Source organism: Homo sapiens, chromosome 2 (genome assembly GCF_000001405.40).
Source record: "Homo sapiens chromosome 2, GRCh38.p14 Primary Assembly".
NCBI lineage: Eukaryota > Metazoa > Chordata > Mammalia > Primates > Hominidae > Homo > Homo sapiens.
This window is the reverse complement of record NC_000002.12, coordinates 60,920,788-60,931,988: the sequence shown is the minus strand read 5'-3', so window position 1 is coordinate 60,931,988 and position 11,201 is coordinate 60,920,788. Positions and strand designations below refer to the sequence as shown.

The 11,201-nt window shown below is 36.5% G+C and overlaps 1 protein-coding gene across 4 annotated transcripts in view; it reads right to left on the bottom strand.

The window, feature by feature from the left end:
- Positions 1 to 376: 376 nt before the first annotated feature.
- Positions 377 to 11,201, bottom strand: part of REL (REL proto-oncogene, NF-kB subunit) — a 50,039-nt gene continuing 39,214 nt past the window's right edge. For all 4 annotated transcript variants that reach the window (NM_002908.4, NM_001291746.2, NM_001438025.1 and 1 more), the window contains one exon: positions 377 to 10,226. In NM_002908.4, the coding sequence (NP_002899.1) occupies positions 9,454 to 10,226 (773 nt within the window). In that variant the 3' untranslated portion in view covers positions 377 to 9,453. The remainder of the gene's footprint in view (positions 10,227 to 11,201) is intronic.

The window sequence follows — 11,201 nt, the reverse complement described above, 5'->3', positions numbered from 1 at the left end:
ATCTCCATCCTTCTCTCTCTCTACCATGTGAGGATGATGGGAAGGCAGCCCTCTGCAAGCCAGGAGGAGAGCCTCAGCAGAAACCGTCCTAGTACCCCTGATCTCGGACTTTCAGCCTCCAGGACTCTGAAAACAGATTTTTGTTGGTTAAGCCAGAAAAGGAAAAAGGAAAAAAATCTTGTAAAAAGGCACTTCAGTACTCTACAAAATTATTTCAAAGGACAGTTACAAATGCAACCATATTCAGCAACAGCATTCCATAAAAATGTCTAATGTTTCTAAGCAACTAAAACTACCTTTTCCTGTTAGGAAGATGCTATAAATATGAAGAAAATCTGATATTTTAAAAGTTAAATAGCAACAAAATTTCAGCAAGTGTTTTAGAATTTTTCCATTTATTATCAAGAAAAAAATCACTATATACAAAGATATTGCAAATGTAATAAAATATTCTGTATAATAAACAGCATTTTGGCATTTTAAAAACAACTGTATCTTGATACTAAACTTAACATTAAATAATTGAACAGTACCTGAGAACTTTAAAAAAATCACTTTCATCAGTGCCTCCAAATTCATTTCAGTCATTAAGCATCTACAAATACTCAGTCAAAAAAAATAGGATTTTGGTATTCTGCTGGGATCTACATTCATCACAGCCAAAGGTATTTTAAGTACATACTTTTAAAACAGAAATCACTTCTAAAGGGTTCACCTGGTCAAAAACCATACATTTAAGAACGCTGGTTACCCAAAAGCTTTGTGTTTTCCTTGCCACATCATCTTAAAGCTACTTGAACTGTGAGACAGTGACCAACATTATTAGCTAATTACCCAGTAAAAATTGAGTGTATCACCAATGAAGTCTCATTAAATTCAGTTCCACAAATGGATCCTCAAATATTCCAACCTTATCTATATTTTATTACATCTTATGGAAAACTATGTTTGATTAGATAATAAAGTTTAAGAGGAAAAATGGGCAAGATGAATGTTTGATACTTTTACCAAAAATTTATATTTCATTTACTTGCTGATTTCCCTGAAAACTCAATTTGTTGAAGAAGCAACATGCTGTACTAATTACTGTGTATTACTATTCACACACAAGTGTTTAATGAATTTTACTTGTAATTCTTTAAATTTTTGAAAGTCCAATAGTAAACTAAAGTTGTGGAAACAACTGATAAGAATATTAGAGGATAATAAATTCTACATCTTTAAATAGGTAAGTACTAGCTGGTGGTATTTTCCTAAAGCCACAGACATTTAGAATAAATAGAGTGATTACTTTTGAAAACTTTGATCTGTATTTTGTTTATTAATAGGGCATGAGTGGTTTTGTCTGTGCTTTTTGCATGCATGAAAAACATTACAGACATGATTACTTTCAAGATTCAATCCTACCCACTGTTAACTTTGTGCTTAACTAAACTCTGCTAAGATGTATTAGTTAAAATATTAATTTGACTACGTCTTAGGCAAAAAAAAGGCATAAAACTAGATACAGACAACCCATACATTTATCTCTGATTAGTCACCTATTTCTGGGCTTATAATAAATGATAAGCCAAAAGAAGGCTCTCCAAAGCTGGGCAATAACTAGTTAATGCTAATGAGAAGTCCATCTCAGGTTTCTTACTAAAGAACCTAATCCATAATGATTTTTCTCACTCTGCTGTGTATTAGATAACTAGAAGGAGTATCTAAATTAAAGATTAATCCGGGACATAGGATATACAGATATTGGTTTATTAACAATATTTGATTCGCACTATATAATTTACAGTGTTTCTTCTTATGTACCATTTTATTTAGTACAACACAACCTGTTAGGTAGCAGGCTGGGTATTACCTGAGTAAAAAGTCCCTATTCTTTCCATTTCTCCATGCTATTTAAAAGCATGTGGTGATCCTTCAATAAATTAAAGATATAACAAATTATTTGATGCCATTAGGCGGCCTGGATCACCAATTCTAAGTCTTTTTTTTTTTTGAGACAGGGTCTTGCCCAGGCTGGAGTGCAGTGGCGTAATCACTGCTCACTACAGACTCAACCTCCTGGGTTCAAGGGATCCTCCCACCTCAGCCTCCCTAATAGCTGGGACCACAGGCACATGTCACCATGCCTGGCTTTCTTTTTCTTATTTATTTATTTATTTATTTTTTATTATACTTTAAGCTTTAGGGTACATGTGCACATTGTGCAGGTTACTTACATATGTATACATGTGCCATGCTGGTGCACTGCACCCACTAACTCGTCATCTAGCATTAGGTATATCTCCCAATGCTATCCCTCCCCCCTCCCCCCACCCCACAACAGTCCCCAGTGTGATATTCCCCTTCCTGTGTCCATGTGTTCTCATTGTTCAATTCCCACCTATGAGTGAGAATATGTGGTGTTTGGTTTCTTGTTCTTGCGATAGTTTACTGAGAATGATGTTTTCCAATTTCATCCATGTCCCTACAAAGGACATGAATTCATCATTTTTTATGGCTGCATAGTATTCCATGGTGTATATGTGCCACATTTTCTTAATCCAGTCTATCATTGTTGGACATTTGGGTTGGTTCCAAGTCTTTGCTATTGTGAATAATGCCGCAATAAACATACGTGTGCATGTGTCTTTATAGCAGCATGATTTATAGTCCTTTGGGTATATACCCAGTAATGGGATGGCTGGGTCAAACGGTATTTCCAGTTCTACATCCCTGAGGAATCGCCACACTGACTTCCACAATGGTTGAACTAGTTTACAGTCCCACCAACAGTGTAAAAGTGTTCCTATTTCTCCACATCCTCTCCAGCACCTGTTGTCTCCTGACTTTTTAATGATTGCCATTCTAACTGGTGTGAGATGGTATCTCATTGTGGTTTTGATTTGCATTTCTCTGATGGCCAGTCATGATGAGCATTTTTTCATGTGTTTTTTGGCTGCATAAATGTCTTCTTTTGAGAAGTGTCTGTTCATGTCCTTCGCCCACTTTTTGATGGGGTTGTTTTTTTCTTGTAAATTTGTTTGAGTTCATTGTAGATTCTGGATATTAGCCCTTTGTCAGATAAGTAGGTTGCGAAAATTTTCTCCCATTTTGTAGGTTGCCTGTTCACTCTGATGGTAGTTTCTTTTGCTGTGCAGCAGCTCTTTAGTTTAATTAGATCCCATTTGTCAATTTTGGCTTTTGTTGCCATTGCTTTTGGTGTTTTAGACATGAAGTCCTTGCCCATGCCTATGTCCTGAATGGTAATGCCTAGGTTTTCTTCTAGGGTTTTTATGGTTTTAGGTCTAACGTTTAAGTCTTTAATCCATCTTGAATTGATTTTTGTATAAGGTGTAAGGAAGGGATCCAGTTTCAGCTTTCTACATATGGCTAGCCAGTTTTCCCAGCACCATTTATTAAATAGGGAATCCTTTCCCCATTGCTTGTTTTTCTCAGGTTTGTCAAAGATCAGATAGTTGTAGATATGCGGCGTTATTTCTGAGGGCTCTGTTCTGTTCCAGTGATCTATATCTCTGTTTTGGTACCAGTACCATGCTGTTTTGGTTACTGTAGCCTTGTAGTATAGTTTGAAGTCAGGTAGTGTGATGCCTCCAGCTTTGTTCTTTTGGCTTAGGATTGACTTGGCGATATGGGCTCTTTTTTGGTTCCATATGAACTTTAAAGTAGTTTTTTCCAATTCTGTGAAGAAAGGCATTGGTAGCTTGATGGGGATGGCACTGAATCTGTAAATTACCTTGGGCAGTATGGCCATTTTCACGATATTGATTCTTCCTACCCATGAGCATGGAATGTTCTTCCATTTGGTTGTATCCTCTTTTTTTTTTTTTTTTTGCAGAGACAGGTTTTCCTTATATTACCCAGGCTAGTCTTGAACTCCTGGGCTCAAGCAATCCCCCTACCTCGGCCTCCCAAAGTGCTGGGATTACAGGCGTGATCCATCCACCATGCCAGTGCCCTGCTCCATGTCTCTCTTAACATGGAAACCATCATGAGTTTTCCTGAAGTATTAGGTTAGACGTTGACAACCCAGCTGTTTCTGTTCACTATGGTTGTGAGAAGCCCAGTTATTTAAAAGGCCATTAAGATTGAAAATAGATTTAGAGGTGTAGGTACAGACTGGGAAGGGGCATGAAGGAAATTTCAGGGGTGCTGGAAATGTCCTAAACATGGTGGTGACATGGGTGTTAACATACATAAAAATTAATTAAGCTGTACATTTAAAATTAGTCCCCTTTATGCATTTTACTCTACATGTGTTATCCTTGCAAAGAAAAAGACTGACATCTTTGAGAGCAAGAGTTTTTGTCTTATTCACCTCTGTATAATTTCCAACATCGTGCTTTGCACATTGGACATTCAAAAAATGTTATACAAGATTGACTGCATCAATACTGGAGTGTTGTGTGAGGGTTAGGTGCTGAGGCTGAGAAGTGTATGAGGGAGACCTGAGATTAAACCTGCCACATAAAGTGGAGAGAAGTAGCAAGGTCAGGGCTATGAAATAATCCCAAAAACTTTAGAATTTCTACATAATACAGTTGACACTACTATTCTCAATAGAGCTGCTTTCAGTCTCAAAGGGCTGTGGTATGTGTGCGTGTGTGTGTGGTAAAAAAGGGAAGCAGCAGGTCAAGGAAGAGAAGTGTTATTTCACAAGACTTAAGTAATCTTGTCATTGCTGCTTTTCCTGCCAGAAAATCATTACCTTTCCCTTTAAAAATCATTTCCATATACATTTTACTAACTCCCATGTCAATTTCACCCTTCCTTTTCTAATAATAGCTACTATTTATTCAGCACCAACTAGTATACTAGGGACTATGCTGGGTGCTGGAGTCCCAATGACGAAAGAGACAAACACTTAAATAAGAGGATGTCCGTAATACAGGCATGTACAAAGCTTCACCTCAAGTAAGGAGGCAGGACCAACCTTCATACAGAAGCCCAGCCTTCAAGGATGAGTGTTCTAGTTCCAGAAGAGCAGAGGCAGAGTGGGTAACATGCTAAAGGTATGGAGGCCTGAGAGAATTGTTTTTTTTCAAGGAATGCTAGCTATGTAATAAGGAATAGGGAGAACATGGTATTTTAACTGGAACATATGGAAAAGATTATTACTAGGGAAAAAAGAATGAAGGCCTTTACTAAGAAGGCAGCAGGAATTAAGAAGGGACATATTCAAGAGGAGACAAGCTCAAAAGGACTTGATGATTAAGTATGAGTGTGATGGAGAAAAAGAATACAATACTTTGAGGTTCCTAGTAAGTATCTTGGGTGGCGTGGTAAATGGTAATGCCATTATGGAAGGTAAAGAAGAGAGCGAGCCAGTTTATCAGGACATTCAGGTAGCATGAAAGAAAACTGAACCTGTGGGCTCTGATAAGATCATCGGAGGGCGGGTAGGGGGAAATAGCACCAACTGAGGGGAGGGGTCAAGACTCATGGGAAATAAATCTCAGGGAGGAATCTTGACTACCACAGAAAACCCAGAGGAGTATGCAAAGAGGGAAGTATAGGAGGTTATACATAGGTCAAGCAGTGTGAGGACTGAAAAAAAGACACTAGATTTGACAAGGCGGGCAGTCTCCGCTCATCTTTCCCAGAATATCCTAAGAAAATTGTAGGAGCTAAAGACAGAGATGGCTGGGCTAAGGAATAACTGGGAAGGGAGAAAATGGAGGCTGGAGGCATTTCAGAAGTCAGGATGCAAATGCATCCAAGTGGTAGGAAAGGTTTTATTTGGTCTTTCCTTTTAGGCTAATGAAGACATTTACCATGTTTATACAAAGAAAGGAATCACTAAGTGGTGATGTAAGGATAAAGTAAACACAGCCTGGCAGAGAAAGGAGGAGGGATCCAGTGCACAAGTAGAGTTCAGAAAAAGTGCCTCAGATACTAAAAGCAGGTGTTAAAAGAGCAGGTGAAAGCATGAATATATGTAGAGACAGAGGAGAAACGTTACCAAATTCATTTTAAATTAAAGTCTATACAGGGTCAAAAAATAGCACCTGAAAAATGAAAAATCCATTGGGAATATTCTACACACAGAGGTAGCAGAACCTTAATTCTGCTTACACCGCAAAACTAGCCAACACTTATTTAGTTTTAAAAAAATATTCTAAACACAGATGTAGCAGAACCTTAATTCGGCTTATACTTACTTATACTAAGTAGCCAACGCTTAATTAGTTTAAAGAAAAAAACCCATGCAGCTATTCTAACAGTCAGTGTTTAAACTGATTGGTGCTAATTAATCCAAAACTATGAGATTCTGTATTAAAAAAAAAAAAAATCTCCCCACCTATCATCCATCATCATCTAGAGACATCCTGGGTTCACATTTTGAACAGAAAAGAAATTGTGCCTTCAGGTTTTTCTTTCTCCCTGGTAAGTTCTATTTATGTGCTTATGATTTTAAAAATTTATTTTAATTTATATTTTTAAGTAAAAAAATTACTTTCTACCTTTTTTATTGAATTCTATGATTCTTGTGAGATTTCATAATGGCTGCTCATGAAAAATTTATAATACAGAAATATTTCCTTTTGAAATAATAATTTCTGAGGAATATTAATGGTACTCAGGGGTCTTTCTTTTTTTTTCTTCCTGAACCATCCTGAGCCCAAGTCTCACTTTGCTGTCTTCCCTATTTCCCAGTATCATTTAACTGAGAATTTTTGTTTTTATGGCATTCACACATTTTTCTATTTGACCGAAACGACTAGTTTATGTAAAGTTATGGTTTGGTTAGACATCGTGTAAGTAAAATGACAGACTGTTTCTTGCTAGGAAGATATTCAACATTTAGGGCAGGTTCTAGTTGTAAAACAAACTAGGTAAAGTTAATTACTTAGCATAATGATAATTCCATCATAATTAAGATTACTGCCCAACTTTAATCTGTAATAATAAAATATAATGATCTAATTAACCCTTACAATGTCTTTGGGAAATAAAAGGGCAAAATAAATAATTATATATCAAATGAAAACTCCAAAATATAACTACGTTTTGAAGCAAAGTGAAAGGTTTCTAAATGCCAGAATTACCAAAAGTCACGAAACACAAACAGCAAATAAAGTGTAATGTTACAGCTATAACAACTCACATAAAGTATGCAGAAACAACTAGGAAACACTGAGAATTTTAAATCTGATTAAGGAGCTAGTAGAGATTACCCAGCATTCAGCTCACCATTTGAAACCAGCCAAATGAATATGTGACAAGTCTCTTTTAAAAATCTTGCACTTTGAAAAGGAAATGTGTTATAAGTGTTACTCAATCTGGAAGTTGCAATGAGCTTGACAATGTCAAAACATGGATTTAGAGATTCTCAATGAACCTCTAATGTTTTACCTTCAATAAAATCTCTTTTCATAAAAGGAAAAAAAAGATTACCCAAATTCTACCATCATTTTGCCACTGGGATTATTTTCCTTTCAAACAATTTGGATGACCATTATTATTCCTGGACTTGAATGTACACGATTCTCATAAACCCAATGTCACACTAAGTAAAACTGCAAAAATCATATACGTCTTATAATTAAAGTTATTATTTCTTTCAAAAACCAAAGTTCTATTAGTAATACTTTTAATGTTCAATAAACATTTACTGAGTGTTTAATATAAGGTAGGCATTTTTCTACAAATTGGAGATTCAACAATAAAGCACAAAAATTTCTGTCCTTAGAAAGTTTATATTTCGGTATGGGAAAACAAACAGTAAATGAATAAATACTTAGTAAAGTCAGATCGTGGTGAGTGCTATGGACATACATAAAGCAGGGGGGAAAGGGAATGCTGATGTATATATTCAAGGACGACCTGCTCAGGTAACAGTGGAGTGACACCTGAAGGATGTAAGAGTGAACTATGCATTTTTCTGGGAGAACAACATTCAAGGCAGAGGGAATACCAAGTACAGACTGTCCAAGGCAAGTGCATACTTGATGCTTTGAGGAGCACTGAGGCCAAGGTGCCTGGAGCTGCATGAGGAGGTGGGATATGGTGGTACCTGAGGTAGGACAGGGAGTCTAGGCCTGCAACTTTTAAGGACTTTGACTGCTCTGAGTGAGATGAGAAGCCAATGAATGGTTTTGAGCAGATGAATGGTATGAGTTGACTTGTTTTAAAAATAATCATTCTGGCTACTTTATGGGGAACAGACTGTAGGAATGCAAGGATATAAGAAGAATTTTTGTAGATGACAGCTTCAATCCAGGGAAGAGATGATGGTGGCTTGGAATAGGGCGTTAATAGTAGAGGTCAAAAGAGGTGGTCAGCTTTAGATATATTGTGAAGGTAGGGTCTACCAGATTTGCTAATGGATTGGATATGGGTGCTAAAAGAAGAATCAAGGATGACTTCAGGGTTTTTGGCCTGAGCAACCAGAAGTATGGCATTGCCATTTACTGAGTTGGAGAAGACTGAAGGAGAAGCAAGTTTGGGAGGGAAGACCAAGAATTCAGTTTTGGATATGCTGAGTGTGAGCTTTAATTAGATTTCTAGATAGAGATGTCAAATAGGCAGTTTTATGAGATCACAGGGAGTGAGGACATCTAAGAAAGGCGAATGGTCCAAGGAAACTTCTTCCCCTTAAAAAATGAGTGTACAGCTAAAATCATAAGCAACTTTAAAGGCATAGATTGAAATAGTATAAAATGTAGAAAACCTCCCATACCTTGAAAGCTCACTTCAACTGCCTTCTGCCCAACTTAACATTTTAAAGACATTTTGATATACATACAAATCTAAGCTCCAAGAAGCCTAAGAAAACCCCTTAGGGGTTACCTTGGCCCATGGGCCTCAAAAATAAAAAATTAAGTTTTTCAATGGCATAGCCATTACAAGTTTTATCTTAAATTTGCTTGAAATTTAAGAATACATTAAAACATTATAAAAAGAAATATAAAAAAGTGTGTTTTTTTTGTTTTTTTTTTTTTGAGACAGAGTCTCACTCTGTCACCCAGGCTGGAGTGCGGTGGTGTGATCTCAGCTCACTGCAACCTCTGCTTCCTGGGTTCAAACAATTATTGTGCCTCAGCCTCCCAAGTAGCTGACAGTACAGGCACGTACCACCATGCTCAGCTAATTTTTGTATTTTTAGTAGAGACGGGGTTTCACCATGTTGGCCAGGCTGGTCTCGAATTCCTGGTCTCAAGTGATCCACCCGCCTTGGCCTCCCAAAGTGCTAGGATTACAGGTGTGAGCCCCTGCGCCTGGCCTCTGAGTTGTCTTTTTATGACAGCTTCCAATTTTGTATTCGCTATGTCCAAAGTTGTATGCTTCTTCCCTGAAAAAAGTTTTTTATATTCTCAAATACAGTATTATATTCTCAGTCAGTATTATATATACAGTATAAATATAGTATTATATCCCCAGTTAGACAAATACAAAATGCTGCATCTATATAGGTGGTATCAAGATTTAAAAGGATTTAAATCTTGCAAGTTATACTTGAAAAAATTCATATGGAAAGGAGTCACTCAATTGCTCATTTTGCATACTGCCAATACCTGAATACTGACTATCTTGAACAAAACCATGACTGTTTGGATTAGTACTGTTTGATGGTCCCGACTCATTTATCATGCTGTTATCTGCACAACTGAAGTCAGATCCCTCAAATGCATCTGATTGTGAAACAAAAACAGTAGTATTGGAATTGGCGCCTGCTGACATACTGGAAGAGGACATCTGATGGAGCTGTCTCAAGTCTCTTGGGTCTAACACTGAATTACATGAGGGGTTTTCAAGATTCATGCTCAGAAGTCTTGGATTATCAGTCTCTCCCATGCTGTCACTGCTGGTTGTCATCATATTCACAGAACAATTAGACAGCATGTTGGGATCAGAAATACCATATAAATCTGCTGATGGCATGGATGACGCTTCCATTCCGACTATGTCATCGGCATTGTTGTAAATGCAAGCATTAGAAGCATTTAAATCATTCCCAACAGGTATTCTCAGGAATGGTGGGATACCTTGCGAATTAGAAGGAAGTGTCCTTGTTGAAAAACTACTCAGTGGGTTTGTATTGCCTGAGCGTGGGGTGGGGTGGGCCACTGATGACCAGCTTGAAGAAGGCAGAGGTGCCATTGAGGCATGATGTGACAATCCACTTGAGATGGGCCCAGGTGAGGGATAGTAGGATTCTGCTTGACTTGAAACCCCTGTAGGCATTTCTCTCACAACTGCATCATGAGAAAACAAGTTTGGTTCTGTGGGAGGAAAAATTTATTTTACGAAATTAAAATGAACAAAATTATAAAAAGCATTTCTAAATTAAAATTGCATAAGCACACAAATATATATAAAGAAAAATGTCAAGGAAACCAATGTAACATTTCAAATAAAAAAATGTAAAAAGCACTAAAATTATTACACGAATCCAAAATGAAATTCTGTAACGTATATACCATTTTACAAATACAGGTAAAATGATTTTGGCAAGTTACTTTGGCATATGTAATTTCACTTCAATTAAATATGAAAATCTAGTTTCTGAGGCTCTATAAAGGTATTTTTGAAAACTAAAAGATAAATATTAGAATTACAATTAATGGGATTCCAAATAGCCAAAATCATCTCTTACTCTTCACTTTTAGGAGAAAATGGAAGGATGGAGACAACACTCATTAGGGATAAGAAAATACACATAACTTTTAAGATATATTACAACAGAACCCTAAGAGACTATAAAATTCACAGTCAGAAAAAAATTACAGAAAAAATTAATTCTGTATCTATTTACATATTATACAAATGCTTTACAAACTAAACCAGGAAAAAGCAATGATTTAAGAATGTACGTGGGGGAAAAAAGACTTCTTCTAATTAGCCCTCGGTTGAATTACCTAAACTAGGGATTGGCAATTTTTTTTTCTGTAAAAAGTCAGATTGTAAATATTTTAGGCTTTGTGAGCTATATACAGCCTCTGTTGGAACTATTCAACCCTGTTGCCATAGTGTTAAAAAAAAAAAGCAGTTTAGAGATAATATTTAATCAAATATTCATGGCCGTGTTCCAGTAAAATGTTATTTATAAAAACAGGTAACTAACCAAATCAGTAACATTTTTTCATAACGCAATGTAATTAATAAAATTGCTACCATATGAACAACATGTAATTTCTTGAACAATAAATCCCAAAAACATAATCAGTTTCTAACACAACCTTCAGAAGCCATGCTTA